The sequence below is a fragment of the Homo sapiens genome, chromosome 2, assembly GCF_000001405.40.
Source record: "Homo sapiens chromosome 2, GRCh38.p14 Primary Assembly".
Lineage (NCBI taxonomy): Eukaryota > Metazoa > Chordata > Mammalia > Primates > Hominidae > Homo > Homo sapiens.
In genome coordinates this window covers 42,712,575-42,731,210 of record NC_000002.12, presented here as the reverse complement: position 1 = coordinate 42,731,210, position 18,636 = coordinate 42,712,575, and the positions used below count along the sequence as shown (strand labels likewise).

The following is an 18,636-nucleotide window of genomic DNA, read 5'->3' as shown; positions in this document are numbered from 1 at the left end:
AGCAGAAATAAGTTGAATCAAAATGAAGGAAGCAATACAAAAGGTCAATGGAACAAAAAGGTGATTTTTTGAAATTATAAACAAAATCAATAAACCTTTAGCCAGACTAAAGAGAAAAAGAGAGAAGACACAAATAAAATCAGAGATGAAAAAGGAGACGTTACAACTGATATCACAGAAATTCAGAGGATCATTAGAGACTATCATAAGCAATTAAATGCCAACAAACTGGAAAAGCTAGAAGAAATGGATACATTCCTAGACACATACAACCTACCAAGATTGAATCATCAAGAAATCCAAAACCTAAACAGACCAATAACAAGTAATGAGATCAAGGCCATAATAAAAAGTCTCCTAGCAAAGAAAAAAAGCCCAGGACCCTATGGCTTCACTGCTGAATTTTATAAAACATTTAAAGAAGAACTAAAACCTATCCTACTGAAACTACTCCAAAAAATAAAGGAGAAAGAAATATTTCCAAATTCATTCTGCAAGGCCAGTATTACTCTGATAGCAAAACCAGAAAAAGACATATCAGAAAAAGCTACAAGTCAATGTCCTGATGAACACTGACGAAAAAACCTCAACAAAATACTAGCAAATTGAATTCAACAATTCATTTAACAAGATTATCTCATGACCAAGTGGGATTTATCCCAGGAATGCAAGCATGCAAGTCAATCACAAATCAATCAGTGTAATATATCACATCAACTGAAAGACAAAAACCATCTGATTATTTTAATTGAGGCTGAAAAGCATTTGATAAAATTCAACATCCCCTCATGATAAAAATCCTTAAAAAACCAGGAATACAAGGAACACACTTCAACACAATAAAAGCCATATATAACAGATCCATAGCTAGTATCATACTGAACAGGGAAAAGCTGAAAGCCTTTCCTCTAAGATTTAAAACAAGACAAGGATGCCCAGTTTCACCACTGTTATTTAACAGAGTACTGGAAGTTCTAGCTACAGCAATAAAACAAGAAAAAAAAAGTCATCAAATTGGAAAATAAGGAGTCAAATTATCCTTGTTTGCAGATGATATGATCTTATATTTGGAAAAACCTAAAGACTCCACAAGAAAGCTATTAGAACTGACAAACAAATTGAGTAAAGTTGCAGGATACAAAATCAACATACAAAAATCAGTAGTATTTCTATATGACAACACTAAACAATCTGAAAAAGAAGTGAAAGATCTCTACAATGAAAACTATAAACCACTGATGCAAGAAATTGAAGAGGACACCAAAAAATGCAAAGATATCCCATATTCATGGATTGGAAGAATCGATACTGTTAAAATGTCCATACTAACTCAAAGCAATCTATGGATTCAATGCAATGCCTATCAAAATACCAATGATGTTCTTCGCAGAGATAGAAATAATAGTCCTAAAATTTATATGGAATCACAAAAGACCCAGTATAGCCAAAGCTATTCTGAACAAAAGGAACAAAACTGGAAAAATCACTTCATCTGACTTCAAATTATACTACAGAGCTATGGTAAGCAAAACAGCATGGTACTGGCATAAAAACAGACATACAGACCAATGGAACAGAATGGAGAACCCAGAAACAAATCTATACATCTACAGTATAAACTCATTTTAAACTCATTTAAAACAATGGTGCCAAGAACATACATTGGAGAAAATATAGTCTCTTCAATAAATGGCACTGGGAAAACTGGATAGCCATATGCAGAATAATAAAACTAGACCCCTCTTTCTTGCCATATACAAAAATCAAATCAAAATAAATTAAATACTTCAATCTAAGACCTCAAACTCTGGGCTGGGCGCAGTGGCTCACGCCTGTAATCCCAGCACTTTGGGAGACCGAGGCAGGTGGATCACAAGGTCAGGGGATCGAGATCATCCTGGCTAACACGGTGAAACCCCGTCTCTACTAAAAAAAAAATACAAAAAATTAGCCGGGCGTGGTGGTGGGCGCCTGTAGTCCCAGCTACTGGGTAGGCTGAGGCAGGAGAATTGCATGAACCCCCCGGAAGGTAGAGCTTGCAGTGAGCCGAGATTGTGCCACTGCACTCCAGCCTGAGCAACAGAGCATGACTCTGTGAAAAAAAAAAAAAAAAAAAAAAAAAAACTCAAACTGTGAAACTAATAAAAGAAAACACTGGAGAAACTTTCTAGGACATTGTTCTGGGCAAATATTTCTTGAGTAATATCCACAGGCACAGGCAACCAAAGCAAAAATAGACAAATTAGATCATATCAAGTTAAAAAGCTTTTGCACAGCAAAAGAAACAGTCAACAAAGTGAAGAGACAATGCACAGAATGGGAGAAAATATCTGCTATCCATCTGACAAGGGATTAATAGCTAGAATATATACGGAGCTCAAACAACTCAATAGGAAAACAATCTAATAATCTGATTAAAAATGGGCAAAAGGTGTGAAAAGACATTTCTCAAAAGAAGACATACAAATGGCAAACAGGCATATGGAAAGGTGTTCAACACCAATGATCATCAGAGAAATGCAAATCAAAACTACAATGAGGTATCATTTAGCCCCAGTTAAAATAGCTCTTATCCAAAAGGCAGGCAATAAGGAATGCTGGCAAAGATATGGAGAAAAGGGAACCCTCATACACTGTTGGTGGGAACCCTATACACTGTTGGTGGGAATGTAAATTAGTACAACCACTATGAGAACAGTTTGGAGGATCCTCAAAAAACTAAAAATAGAACTACCATATGATCCAGCAATCCTGCTGTTATATACCCAAAAGAAAAGAAATCAGCGTATTGAAGAGATATCTGCACTCCCATGTTTACTGCAGTACTATTCACAGTAGCCAAGATTTGGAAGCAACCTAAGTGTCCATCAACAGACAAGTTGATAAAGAAAATGTGGTACATATACACAATGGAGTACTATTCAGACAAAAAAGAATGAAATCCTGTCATTTGCAACAACATGGATAAAGCTGGAGGACATTATGTTAAGTGAAATAAGCCATGAACAGAAAGACAAACTGCACATTCTCACTTACTTGTACTAAAAATTTAAAAAAATTGAACTCATGGAGATAGAGAGTAGAATGGTGGTTATCAGAAGGTAGGAAGGATAGTGGTAGGAGGTATGATTAATGGGTACAAAAATATAGTTAGATAGAATGAATAAGATCTAGTATTTGATAGCTAACAGGGTGACTACAGCAACAATAATTTATCGTACATGTTAAAATAACTAAAAGAGTAAAATTGCACTGTCTGTGACCAAAGAAAGAATAAATGCTTTAGGTAATGGATAACCCATTTACCCTCATGTGATTATTAAGCATTATATGCCTGTATCAAAACATCTCATGTATCCCATAAATACATACATCTACTATGTATCCACAAAAAATTAAAAATTAAAAAATAAAGCACATGAAAATTTTCAATCGTAAGATCAATTCTGTAAGGCAAATGTCATCTGTATTCTACAGATTTATAGAGGAGAAAACTCATCCAAAAAAAAAACCATGTGATTCACCCAAGGTCACACAAGAAGCAATCAGAGGAGTAAGCAATTAATCCTAACTGATTCCAAACACTCAGATACCCCTTTTTCCCCCCATGGCACAGACAAGTTCCATCTCCCCCTGCTGCCTTCTCTTCAGGGCTTTCTGACATGGAAATGTTTTCCAGTAATGGCTCTTCTATCCCTGCTGGCCTAAGCCCTCACCTACTCACAGCCACTTGGAGTTAACCAAGTAGGGCAAACATAGTAGGTGATACCTGGTTTGCTAGCAGTAAAAATGTCCACAGTGGAGGAGATGGGACTGGAAACCACAATGACAGCATACGGCACACTGCTGGACCGACATCCTAGGGAGAAAGACTGAAGTATAGGGAGACTGGCAAGGCACTGTGCAGATCTCTAATTTTGAACCTTTATTCTTTTTATCATTACTGACTCCTTGCACTGAGTACTGAGGCTTCTTGCGTATGCAGATTTCTTTCTTTCTTTCTTTCTTTTTAAGAGACAGGATCTCACTCTGTAACCCAGGCTAGAGTACAGTGATACAATCATAGCTCACTGCAGTCTCAACCTCCTGGGCTCAAGCAATGCTTCTGCCTCAGCCCCCGCCAAGTAGCTAGAACTGTGGGTGCATGCCACTACATCCAGCTAATTTAAAACAAAAACTTTTTTAGAGTTGGGGTCTCACTGTGTTGCCTAGGCTGGTCTCAAATTCTGGGCTCAAGTGAGCCTCCCGCTTTGGCCTCCAGAGTTGCTGGGATTACCAGTGCAAGCCACCACTCCCCCTATGTATACATCTTTCATCTTCACCTTTGGAGTTTAGATTCTATTAGATTGGTCACAGGGCCTGTGTGTGGCCCTGGAGTTTCCTTAATAGAGCATACAGAGTTCTGACTATCTGCACCCAGTCCATACCAAGGCCTTTCTTTAAAAGGCCTTCATCAGGGCCAGGAAAGACCGTGATTTTCAGGGAGGAAATAAGAAGCTGTCCATCTTTTTTTTCTAATGCCAAGCAAAATCCTTTCTGCTAGCCCAAATTCACAGACTCCTTTCCCATCATCAAGAACCTGCAATGCAAGGACAAAAAAACAAACACCGCATGTTCTCACTCATAGGTGGGAATTGAACAATGAGAACACATGGACACAGGAAGGGGAACATCACACTCTGGGGACTGTTGTGGGTTGGGGGGAGTGGGGAGGGATAGCATTAGGAGGTATACCTAATGCTAAATGACGAGTTAATGGGTGCAGCACACCAGCATGGCACATGTATACATATGTAACTAACCTGCACATTGTGCACATGTACCCTAAAACTTGAAGTACAATAATAATAAAATTAAAAAAAAAAAAAGAACCTGCAATGCAAAGGTAGAGGGTGAGTGGAGGAGGCAAGCCACTGAAGGGGGCAGGCTGCCCTAAAGCTAAGAGGCCTAAACATCTCAGCAGCCCCGGGTGTTGTTTCCAATTCAGTTTCTTCTGCCCATCAACACTCTGTTTGGTATGCTCATCTGTCTGACATGCTGATAATTAAGTAGCAGTGCTAATTGATTTTATTATTGGATCACACAGAACAAGGCTTTCCCATGAGTTTGTATCTATTTCAGTATATGATGGTAATAACTAGCTCATGAAAAGTATTAACAGAACATTTTTTCCAGTACTTTGAGTTCATCTTGGAAACTCTGGTTAATCAGGATCCTATACCCTGTGGACATAGGAAACAGGCCCATTATCCCAATGAAAAGGTCCATTCGTAACACAAGAATGTGGGCACTTTCTAACATGTGTGCCTCCATTACACTCTTGTTTCTCAGCTCCATGATGCTGGGGGTGGGTGGGACTCTACAAGCACACTTCCCCTTTGCTGTCTGGCTCTGTGTCACACCAGCAGGGCGCTAGAAGGATTCTGCAGTGCTGGAGCAGGGAGGTAGGAACTGCTCGGTCCTGTCCCTGTCAGTGTCCCCCCAGGTAGGTGCAGAAGCTTGTACCAGAACCAGCCTCATCACACCTCCTGAGAGGTGCCTGCACCGGCAGGGCAGTGCCCTCTCCTCTGGGTTGCGTTCTGGCTCTGAGGCCCTCCTTGAGCTTCTGGGTTGTGATAAGCCCAGCTTCTTCCTTGTGCTCTCCCAACCCTGAGAATGGTGGCTGTTTCCTGTGCCCCTGCCCCATGTTCTCTGTTGATTTATTCTGTCCTCCAATATCCATCATACTGATTTCTTTTATGAAATTAGCTGTTGAAATAACTTATATAGTTTCTACTTTGCTGATAGAACCTAATACAGTGCATTTGAGAGCCACGATTTCATTCATAACAGTGGTTAAACGAGAAGATTCTGAAATCAGTCACATCTGAGTGGGAATCTCAATTCATCTCTGTAGTGCCTGGTAACTTTGGAAAATTTAATTCACTTCTCTAGGTCTCATTTTTCTCAATCACCTTCATTTATACAACTAATATATATTGAGTACCTACTACATGCCAAGTACTGTGCTAAGCACAGAGATACAATGATATGCAAAACAAATTCCCTGACCTCCCAGAACCTCCTGTCATGTGAATTAAATGAGAGAACTCAGTAAAGGAGTTAGCACAAGTGCCGAGCACATGTCATCAGCCTTCCTCTCCATCCCATGACAGCAGAGCAAACACAAATGGGTCTTAAAGAAGGAAGTGTTTCAGCAGCTAAGTCTCTTCAGAAAATAAGATGGGTCTTTCCCCCAAAAAGGCTGAAGGTCTCTGTCTACAGAAAACCAAGGATTCATTGTGTGCCCCGTCCATTCCTTCTGTTCAGAGCAGAGAAGCAATGACCGTGTGGCAGCATTCATTCAGAGGGAAATGAAACAAACAGCCCTAGAGAGGGAACACTACAAGGTGACATTTTAAATAAATTCCAGAAAAACAGGTACCTGTGATACTGAGGAAAGAGCAACAGAAGAGGTATTGCAGGCCAGGACTGGGATCCAGAATGACCACAGGGTGTGAGTGAAAGAAGATACCAGAAAGCTGCTATGCTAACATCAGTCACAGTAACAGTCGTGTGTGTGTGTGTGTGTGTGATGGGGTCTCTGTCATCCTCGCTGGAGTGCAGTGGCATGATCAGAGCTCACTGCAGCCTCGACCTCCTGGGCTCAATCGATCCTCCCACCTCAGCCTCCTGAGTAGCTGGGACTACAGACATGCGCCACTAGATAATTTGTAAACTTTTTGTAGAGACAGGGTCTCTCTGTGTTGCCCAGGCTGGTCTCGAATTCCTGCGCTCAAGTGATCCTCCTGCTTCAGCCTCCCAAAGTGTTGGGATTACAAGCATAAGCCACTGGACCTGGCCCACAACGACAGTCTTTTTACCGAAAAGAATATATACGTGTGTGTGTGTGTGTGTGTGTGTGTGTGTGTGTGTGTGTGTGTGTGTGTGTGTTTTTCAGGACTTACTTTATACCTTCTACAGCAATATTATATGCCTAGAAAGGCCAGGGAGGTGGTATAATGGAAAAGAGAGATTCTAGATTACATTCAAGCCTGAATCCAAAGGTTGTGGGCAAGAAAAGGCTGAAAGAAATACATCCAATCTTCACACTTTGATACACTCCTTCTGCTGTCTAGACATCAGGTATATTGTGTCAAGGATGGCCAACGTTCTCATTAGAAAGGAAGTGTTTCTGTAAGACTTCTGGGTAGCTAAATTCTTGACAACCATATCTTAACACATTGATAACCTATAAATGCAAACTCAATTCCTCACCCTCACTGTTTTACACATTTTTGACATTATTATGAACATCAAAAGTCATAATGGAGGAAAACAACCATAGGAAATTATTATTAGAAGGTCTACTCCACATCCTTGCTCTGGGGCCTCATTATAAATAATTTACTGTCACATAAGTAATTTAGAGTTCCAGAAGGCATGAAAAGCCTGGAGAGAGTTTTATTCATAAATAAATGCCAACATTTAAACAATAAAGACAGTTTCAAAGTCCAGAACTACTGAAATGAAGAACATATACTGCCTGGATGATTTATTATGGTTGTGTTTATAGTCCAAATGAGAAGATAATTCAGTTCCACCTGGAGAGTCATTACATGGCCAAGCCCAAGAGAAGTACTTTGGATAAGAGGTGATATTTCTATTTTTCCATTTCAAGCAAATTATTATTTCTGTATTTAGGACATCACCCAGGCAATTCCTTTCATGACATGTAGCACTCTTGAGCAATTAAAAACATTTATAAGGTAAAAGAAGGGACAAATGCCAAATTTAGAATGACCCATGGAACACTGAAGAACCCCCAGAGAACACTGATGTCTTAGACATAAGGCAAAATAATCCCTTCTGCTCAAGAAAACTTAAATGAACAGTGAGCGCGCATCACAGCAAGAACATTATTACCCAGCAGAAGCAATCTGCTAAATACAGATTTCATCTCCAAAAACGCCTCCTAACAGGAGATGGGAGCAAATAAGTACCTCCTGATGGGATGGAGAACTATCCCTTGGCAAAATGTGGCATATGGCTGTATTCCCCCTTATTCCTCAACCACATACTTCAATCATGGAATACAAGAACATGCTTATAATATATTTTTGGATGTGGCAGACACATGCCTGAGTGTGAAGGCACTCTATCAGAACAGCCTCCAGAATTCCTGGGCTTACATACCATCCAGACCATTGTGATGACTGTAGTTTCTTTTCCCCAGAATGCTCAGAGATGTGTGATTTGGAGTTGTTAGCATCCGCTTGGTAGTTGGGGTTTGCAGGCTTGGTGTAGATCGAATTACATTAGGTTTCTTTGCAGGATGGATCTCTGATGGGGGAAAAAAGGTTTCTCAATTCAGAACATGATATTAAAAATCTGTGTGCATTTACATTGGCTAATAGGCACACATCTTATTTCTTAATGAGCTGAGAGTCAGTTCCTCCTGAGCCAGCCAAGGACTTGCATAATGAGTCAGCTTCAAGTGTTGTTGCCATGGCTTTGCTTATCAAGTAAGCTGGTTTTTTCCCTGCTGGCTGGAGCTCTGAGCCTCGGGTTGTGAATACAAGCAAAAACAAAACAAAAAGCCACTTCAGAAGGTCACATACAACATGTGATTTACTAAGGGAATAAGGCATCTGACTCCTCAAGATATTAGACATCAAAAGGCTATCTGGAGAGGTAGCCTTGGGGTGAGGGGGGTAAAACACTTCTGTGCTCTGTCAAACCAGGCACCATGTCACGTATGCGAACTTTCTGAAAAACGGGATTCCTCCTCTGGCTCTGCAACCAGACAGAGTATGGGACCAGGATCAATTACTCGCAGCCTAGAACATTTTGATATAGATGAAACCTGAAACCAAAGTCCAAATACAATAGTCAAGAGGTAGATGAAATGCTTTATCCAAGGATATATCACAAAACCATAATGTGCCTGTGGTATATGCATGTTTAACAAAGGTATATTGTTGTTAGCCATACAGCCCAGAACTACGTGCTCTTATTGTAGATGGACAGAAACTGTAACACTGTAGGAACTGGATTTAAGAACTTCAGTTTACTACTAAAGCTGGGCAGCCTTTTTCTAAAGCTTAGCAGCTCACTGATTCTCAGAGTCATCATGCAGCTGGCCAACTACACACAAGCCACCCTGCCTTCTCACCCTTTCACTGAAGGTAAGGGCTGAGATATCACCCTTATTTACTGGAATTTAGGAAAAGCCATTGGAATTGTTAGAATTACTACAGCTCTGGTCAAAGTCCCACACTTGCCAAAATTTAGAAATGGCTTAAATACTACCACCGAAAAAAGTGATTTTTTTTTCTCCAACATGACATGACAAGTTTGCCAGCCTTGCATTTCATTTAACCTCCACAGTCTATGCTCCATCTAGACCAAACAAGCTGCTTTCAAGTCCTTGGACTCACTGAAGCCTTTGTTCATCTGGTTGTCTTGGCCTTATGAGGGAAGAGAATACGCTTTTCCTATTTTTCTACCTATTCGAATCCTAAATATCTTTTAAGGCTGAAATTAACTATTACTTTCTTCAGGTAGGCTGCCCTAACGCTCATTAGAAAAAATTCCCTCATTGGCCAGGTGCAGTGGCTCACATCCGTAATCCCAGTACTTTGGGAGGCCAAGGTGGGCAGACTGCATGAGTCCAGGAGTTCGAGACCAGCCTGAGCAACATGGTGAAACCCTGTCTCTACAAAAATTTTTAAAAATTAGCCAAGTGTGGTGGTGCACACCTGTAGTCCCAGCCATTCAGGAGGCTTAAGTGGGAGGATCACCTGAGCCTGGGAAGTGGAGGTTGCAGTGAGCCAAGATGGAGACATTGTATTCCAGCCTGGGTGACAGAGTGAGACTCTATCTCAAAAAAAAAAAAAAAGAAAAAGAAAAAGAAAAAGAACAGTCCTTCCTCCAAGTGCCCAACGCATATTACCTGTAATTATTTTACAGGATCTAATCCTTTGTTTTATTGTTCTTACCTGCTTGCTTTCCCCACTACACTAAGAATTTTGAGGGCAAGGTCTTACCCATCTTGGTGTTCCCCAAATCACTTAGTACAGTGTTTTCAACATATAAATACTCATAAATATATTGTGTAGGGATGTGGTTCAGCTGGTAAGAACAGCACAGTCTGGGCCTATCTGGTAGATATAGAGACCAATTTGCCCACAGTAGGAGCACACAATTATTCTTGGAAAGGCTAATAATGTTATATTCTTTTTTTCTTTTCTTTTCTTTTTTTTTTTTTTTTTTTTTTTGAGACAGGGTCTCAATTGGTCACTTGGACTGGAGTGTGGTGGCACAATCTTGGCTCACTGCAACCTCTGCCTCCTGGGCTCAAGCGGTCAATCCTCCCACCTCAGTCTCCTGAGTAGTTGGGACCACAGGCACGCACCACCACACCTGCCTAATATTTGTATTTTTGGTAGAGACAGGGTTTTGCTATGTTACCCAGGCTCAAACTCCTGGACTCAAGCAATCCGCCTGCCTCTCAAAGTACTGGGATTACAGGCATGAGCCACCATGCCCGGCCTATTCTATTTTTTGTGATCAGAAACTTTCCCATGCAAGGTGGGAAGGGGCATCTGGAGACAGTTCTGCAAGGGAATACAGACCGCACTCTTCAAGGACATTACCACCATTACGTAGGTCATGTGTACAATAACCATGTGACATTTTCAGGGGATATCAAAACAACTCTTTAACCCCTGAGAAATAAAGCAAGAAATGGCCGGACGCAGTGGCTCATGCCTGTAATCCCAGCACTCTGGGAGGCCGAGGTGGGCGGATCATGAGGTCAGGAGATTGAGACCCTCCTGGCTAACAAGGTGAAACCCCGTCTCTACTAAAAATACAAAAATTAGCTGGACGTGGTGGCGGATGCCTGTAGTCCCACCTACTCAGGAGGCTGAGGCAGGAGAATGGCGTGAACCTGGGAGGCGGAGCTTGCAGTGAGCCGAGATTGCGCCACTGCACTCCAGCTTGGACAGAAGAGTGAGATTCCGTCTCAAAAAAAATAAATAAATAAAATAAATAAATAAATAAATAAATAAAGCAAGGAATAAGGTAGTACAGTAACATCAAAGAAGAAGCTTTGAGCCTCTGAATCCTGGAACATTCTTTTGGGTAAGGACTAGATAATATACCAAATTCAAGACTACACTTTGATTTTTAAAAGAGTTGATGTCTGCAGTCTGAACATTTCATAATTATAAATCTTTCTGTCAAAGCAACTCTGAGTACATATTTCACTTTACTGAAAAAGAACTATGAGAAGCACAAAAACATGCCATTCTTGCTTCTAGGTATGTGAAAAACCATTATTTTGTAAGTTATTTCTCTTAAAACTTTGTTTAAACAAAGAGATTATTGCATAGTAATTTTGTATACTATTCTTAATTGTGATATTTCAACATAAAAATGGAGCTATCATCTTTGGAGATTTCCAAGTCAGATGGCATGATAAAAATAAGAAAGCAATACAAATGCCTCCCCTTCAAAGTCACCTAAAGCACACCAAAACTATAAATATTTAAGGCTTGAAGCAGTGGCTCACATCTGTAATCCCAGCACTTTGGGAAGTCAAGGCAGGAAGATCGCTTGAGGCCAGGAGTTTGAGACCAGCCTGGGCAACAAAGCGAGACCCTGTCTCTACAAAAAACAAATAAAATAAAAAATTAAAACCTATAATTATTTTAAGATAAGTTATAAACCAGTTTGATCTCATTTTAATAAGTAAATAAATCTTCTATTTAAAAAGAGGTGAGGTGAGTTAGAAACAGGGAAGGGATCTGAAGAAGAATATTAAGACTATTCATCCTAAGTACTAACTGAATGCTTTTCATTTTCTTTTTTGCTTAATCTGTATTTATTTCCATGAATATATATTACATTTTTATTCGATGGCTTTTTGGAAAAAGTAGACATATATCATAAATCTGTGTGTGTATGTGTGTGTGTTGTGTGTGCTGGTAATAAAAGTTTCTGAAACAAAATAAACTGACTATATAAAGGTATCCAATTTCGGCTATTTGAAGGGCCTGAATTAGTTTAGGTATGTCCATTTAGAATTGCCAAATATCTATACTATTCAGAAATTGCTCTTTGAGTTTTTCCTCTATTAGAAAATACCCACCTAAATACCCAATGATACATGCCAAAGGCTTCCTAGTGCTTTTGCTTTTCAGTGGACTTCCAGATAGTTCAGCATGTCTGTCTGCATCTGAGGAGAGAAAGAAACATGGAGATAACCAATGAAATGGATTTCTCTAGCCAGACTACATGCACCACAGAAATAAAGGTACAAGTGGAAAACAGTACAAAATAGCCACCAGATTCCCGCATAATTTCCTTTTGGGTTTGAGAAAATGGTTTCTAGTTCTGGTTCCCAATTTCTAAATGGGATTTACATAAAATAACATGTAATTATTAGTAGTAGTATTATTTTGAGACGGAGGCTCACTCTGTCACCCAGGCTGAAGTACAATAGCGTGCTCTCAGCTCACTGCAACCTCCACCTCCTGGGTTCAAGCAATTCTCCTGCCTCAGCCTCCTGAGTATCTGGGATTACAGGTGCACACCACCATGCTGGGCTAATTTTTGTGTTTTTAGTAGAGATGGGGTTTCACCATGTTGGTCAGGCTGGTCTCGAACTCCTAATCTTGTGTTCTGCCCACCTGCTCATGCCTGTAATCCCAGCACTTTGGGAGGCCAAGGAGGGTAGATCACCTGAGGCCAGGAGTTCAAGACCAGCCTGTCCAACATGGAGAAACCCCATCTCTACTAAAACACAAAATTAGCTGGGCATGGTGGCACATGCCTGTAATCCCAGCTACTCGGGAGGCTGAGGCAGGAGAATTGCTTGAACCCAGGAGGTGGACATTGCGGTGAGCCAAGATCACGCCATTGCACTCCAGCCTGGGCAACAAGAGCGAAACTCCATCTCAATAATAATAATAACAATAATAATTTACATGCAAGAGAATACAGACAGCACTCTTCAAGGACATTACCACCATTATCTAGGTCATGCCTACAATAACCATGTGATGTTTTCATGGGCTATCAAAAGAACTCGTTAACCCCTAGAAATAAAGCGAAAAAAAAAAAAAAAAAGGTACCAGAGTAATATGGAAAACACTCACTTTAAAGCCCCATATGGGTATAGCTAATACACATCCAACACACTCATGCTTTTTTATTGCGTGTGCCCATCTCAGAAATATGCTTCATTTCTAGCCATGGCATTTCTACATTATAGCAGAAATAATCGCCGTAAAGCACAAGGTGGAATCAGTCTTAACGTAAGATTGAAATGACATGGAAGATAAATGACAGCTGCTAAAGGCAACAAACTTCGCCATCTCTGACCTAGATGGGCCATACTTGGCCATCCCTTCCCCACTGTGAAGGCTTAACCTATCTTGGCAAAACTCAATTGTTAGGCTAGGGATTTGCAAGAGTAATAATGGGCCATTTGGTTTTATCACTGGTTTTCTAACCCTGATCAAGCTATGTCATTCATTGGTGCTGAGATTTAAAAGGCTACCTGTGTGCAAACAGAGTATTTCATCCAACAGTCAGAACAGTAAGAAACAGTGAGGATGGGTATTAGCTAATCAGTTTTCATGATGCTCATTATACCCTATTGTAAGACATTTTCAGACAAAAATAAAGCATACAATACAAACATTCTGTGTTTTAATTAGCTGTCATTTGGAAGAGTAGATGTGCAAGACAAAGGGACAAAACAAAACGTGTATTGAAACACTTTAATACTGTCATAAATATTAACAGAATCACTTTAACCTGTATGATTCTACTATGTTTATGCCTTTTTCCCACCTTCAAATATTTGACAAAAATGTCCTACAGGTTTTCTGATTTACTGAAGAATTTTTCCTTTTGCAAACTGAGACATTTCTGGGCATACACACAGGGAATTTCCTTTGATACCCACAGGAATTATTTGCTCTACTAGAGTTAAAATGTGCAAGTCTGGAACTTCAAATAATTTTAAATAAAAGTTAGGTTTTTATGAGTTCTAGCCCTTTCACCAAAAAAAAAAAAAAAAAAAAAAAAACTCTTTTCTGAAAATTATTAAACCGAAGATGGCAAAAGAGCATTTTTTAAAAATTCTCATTGTGGTTAAAAAAAACACAATGAGATACTATTTCACACTAGTCAGAATTGCTATCATTAAGTCAAAAAATAACAGATGCTGGCAGAGAAAACAGGTTGAAGAGAAAAAGAAATGCTATACACGGTTGATGGGAATACAAATTAGTTCAACCATGTGGAAAACAGTGTGGTGATTCCTCAAAGAGCTAGAAACAGAACTATCACCCAACAATCCCACTACTGGATATATACCCAAAGGAATATAAATCATTCTATCATAAAGACACATGCATGTATATGTTCATTGCAACACTATTCACAATAGTAAAGACATGGAATCAACCTAAATATCCACCAATGATAGACTGAATAAAGAAAATGTGGTACATGTACACCATGAAACACTATGCAGCCAGAAGAAAAGAACGATATCATGTCCTTTGCAGGAACATGGATGGAGCTGGAGGCCACTATCCTTAGCAAACTAATACAGTAACAGAAAACCAAATACTGCATGTTCTCACTTATGAGTCGGAGCTAAATGATGAGAACTCATGGATGCACAGAGGGGAGCAACAGACACTGGGGCCTATTGGAGGGTGGAGGGTGAGAGGAGGGACAGTATCAGGAAGAATAACTAATGGGTACTAGGCTTAATAATTGGATGATGAAATAATCTGTACAACAAACCCCCTTGACACAAGTTTACCTATATAACAAACCTGCACATGTACCCCTGAACTTTTTTAAAAGTTAAAAAATAAGTTTAAAAACATTAAAATAGACAAAGCACATACTGCAGAGAGCCTAAAACAATCAGGAATCTGAAAATATAGCACCCAGATATTGGCTAATTATTATGCAACCACTGACAAGTATAAATGATCCAATTTCTTTTCTTCCTATTCAGGTGATTCCCAGGAGAAAAAATAAATTACTAAGCTATGAAGCTTTTCACCTATTGTTGAATAATAGTGAAGATACAGGCAGAAATATAATAAACATCTTGTGGAAGAGTAATCTAAATAAACACTAGGAAGCAACCCAAAGCCTGTAAGGATCAAACGCCTGCCAAACCATTGAGTTAACACTACATAATTTCTTGCTAATATTACTGATTCACCTGAAATTCAAGTTATATTTGGGATAAGGACAAGATAAATTTTTCTTTCTTCTCTATTAATAAAGCTGGAATGAGTCATCTTGGTTATTTCCTCAATGTCTTGACAAAGGCAATCACCATATTACTAGTAATAAGATTTGCCTTTTATTCCAGTCTAGATGACCCAAAGGAAAACTGCCAATATGGCAGCAATTGATAGACATTGATGGCTATCATCAACAAATCCATCAAAGAGGTCACCAACACAATACCCAAAGATACTTCATTTTAAACTATATTTGCTTCTAATTTCTCATTAAAAATAGGAGGATTAATTATATGATGTTCTAAGTGACAATTTGCATTACAGAGTACCTCTGAATGGGAGATCAAAGCTTTTTAGAAAGAAGCATATTTCACTAATCCTCATAATATTTTATAGAAAGTTCCAGCTACTCAGGAGGAGGAGGAGGGAGGATCCCTTGAGTTAGAGGCTATAGTGAGCCATGATCACGCTACTGCACTCCAGGCTGGGTGACAGAGCAAGACCCTGTCTCAAAAAAAAAAAAAAAAAAAAAAAAGTAGTTGGTGGCAAGAATTATGTCTCAACTGTGAAAAAATTAGAGTGAAAAGATTCTAGGACTGCCTTAGTCACTCTTTAACATAAGAAAAGTTGTTGCCATTCAGTAGGAAAAATACAGTTGGCCCTGAGGAAATAGCCATAGGTGGGATTGTCTGGCCCACACTTGAGTTGGTTAGAAGGAATGCTGGGCTGCACTCAATGCCAGGCCAACAATGCTGCCACTTGTCAGACAGTCCTTGCTCCCAAATTACTCACCTAACTCCACTTCAACAGGGAGATATGCATTTGAAGTCACAGATAATGAAAGCAATCTGAGAAATCCCCAAAGAACCCAGAAGGAATCAAAACCTGTCCAGAGAGAACATCTATATCTCACTCAAGTCACTTGACTGGTCACAAGGAACATGTCTTTAGTTTCCTAGAGCAGGGGTCCCCAAGCCCCAGGCCTCAGACCAGTACTAGTGGTAGCAAGTTAGGAACTGGGCCGGACAGCAGGTGAGCATTACCGCCTGAGCTCCGCCTCCTGTCAGGTCAGTGGCAGCATTAGATTCTCATAGGAGCGCTAACCCTATTGTGAACCGCTATGCGAGGGATCTAGATTGCCTGCTCCTTATGAGCCTCTAACTAATGCCTGATGATCTGAGGTGGAACAGTTTCATCCCAAAACCATCACGGCCCACACCACCCAGTTCATGAAAAAATTGTCTTCCATGAAACCTGTCCCTGGTACCAAAAAGGTTGGGGACCACTGTCCTAGAGGATGATCTATATTTCCTTGGGGTTAACCTAGAAATACACTATTACTTTTGTTGAAACTCATGGTTATTTTTCTACAGTGTTTTGGAAATACTGGGGGCAGTGAGATGGAAACCCTGCAATATACACACAGAATTCACAAAAACATCCCACATGTGCATTCAAGAACCCTGTCAAGATAAAACTATCAGTAGAGTTTGCTTCTAGAACTGGAAAGGTATTTTTAAAGAAGCCACAAAACTCATGATTTTTTTTTTATAAATTCAACTATTAATATGTCTTTTTTTAAAAAAAAATCTGCTTGGCAAATACACCATAAAGTCAAAGAGAAAACGGGGGAACTATTTGTATCACATATCACAGATTAAGAGATAACTTTGTTAAAATATAAAAAGTTCCCACAAGTCAGTAAGACTGCCAATAGAAAACAGGCCACGGGCAAAAACAGTTGACAGAAAAGGAGATAAATGGTTTTCAAATATAGGCAAAGATTTCTATCTCATTCAAAATGAGAAATGCAAGCTAATATAACTTGTCATCTGTCAATTAGTCACGGGTTTCAAAGATGGGTAACACTGCCAGCAAAGTTCTAGAGAAATAGGAATTGTCTAGATGTTGTGAGTGGGACTGTGAATTGCAGTTTTTCTACGGGCAATAAAACTACACCAAAATTCAAAATGTATGCTCCTTGGCCCCAACTTTAACTTTTAGGGATCTATCTTGTAAGGAACATTCCCATTTTATACATCAGTATGAAATGATATCTGCATAAGGATATTTGTTGCAACATTATTTATGATAGAAAATGACTGAAAATAACTTAAAAGCTTTTAATAGGAAACTAGTTATGGTACAACAAAATAGATTATGCAGCTGACACAAAAAGGAGGCAGTTTTCAATACAGTGGCACGGTATGTTAAGTAAAAAGCAGCAAGGGACAGAGCAATATAGACAGTATGTTAATATCATATAGAAACAAACAATAAGCCTACTTAGACTCTTATAGATGCACAGAATATTTTTTGGATACTTAAGGCAACGATGATAATGGTTATCATTGAATGGGGTAAATCAGGAATGAGGAACGTGATGAGATTTGTAACCACTTTTGTACCTTTAGAAAAATTTTTCAGTATCCATTCAAAACCAAATTTTTATTAAACTCCCTCGGCTTATACCACAAGGCACATACTAAAAAAAAAATTTAAACTCTCTACCAAAAATACCAAAAGAAGCAAACCAACTATTCTCTCATGATTCAAGCTTAAAATTTCAGAAAAGCTTATACTCATTAACTTTAGCTGAGAAATCTCTAGAAAAATCTCATAAAACACATTTTTCATCAAGTGGGGTCTTGAGATACTTCCAAAGCCAAATTAGCTTCTTCAAACAGAAAAATAGCTTCAGGTTCCTCCCAAATAACCTCATACAGGGGAATACTGTGGCCCATTCAAGTCTGGTATGTTATCAGCCCAAACCACTTCACTCTCTCTGCAAGCCACCAAGGTGCCAGGCAAATCATCCGGATTTACTTTTCCAGGCACTTTAGCTTCATCTTTGGAATGTTGCTAGTAAACCTACTTCTATTTAACCTCAGTCTGTGAGGATCCTGAGTCTCAAGTGCTGATAATCCTGTGTGCATCAGGTGTTTGGATGATTCTGTAGATCTTTGGTGAAGTCTCTGAAATAACGTCTGATGACAATAACAGAGGAACGTCATTCTCCCATACATAGCTTTTTTACTAGGGGGAGGGACCTCAGGGGGGAAAAAAGAAAAGACGGCTAACTTTTTTTTTTTAATAAAATATGGAACACTTCACTAATTTGTGTTGTCATCCTTGCTCAGGGCCATGATTATCTTCCCCATATCATTCCAATTTTTAGTATATGTGCTGCTGAAGTGAGCACGATGTCCAAACTTGGTATTTTATAACCTTGCTGTTGGGCCACAAATCTTAAGAAAACAGTACGTTTCTTTATGCAATGAAGAATTTTGGTCTACCAATCCATTTTTAATAAGTACTGTCTACGTGGTAGAACTGGCTCAGGCATTTTACCAATGTTAGTAACTTT

The 18,636-nt window shown here is 39.4% G+C and overlaps 1 protein-coding gene and 1 pseudogene across 5 annotated transcripts in view; both read right to left on the bottom strand.

Annotated features, from left to right (window-relative positions):
* MTA3 (metastasis associated 1 family member 3) overlaps positions 1 to 18,636 on the bottom strand; it is a 262,837-nt gene that overhangs the window by 25,736 nt on the left and 218,465 nt on the right. For all 5 annotated transcript variants that reach the window (NM_001282755.2, NM_001282756.2, NM_001330442.2 and 2 more), the window contains 2 exons: positions 12,137 to 12,223; positions 8,176 to 8,322 (listed from right to left, as the gene is read on the bottom strand). In NM_001282755.2, coding sequence (NP_001269684.1) covers positions 8,176 to 8,322; positions 12,137 to 12,223 — 234 coding nt within the window. The remainder of the gene's footprint in view (positions 1 to 8,175; positions 8,323 to 12,136; positions 12,224 to 18,636) is intronic.
* Positions 18,364 to 18,471, bottom strand: RNU6-137P (RNA, U6 small nuclear 137, pseudogene; annotated as a pseudogene).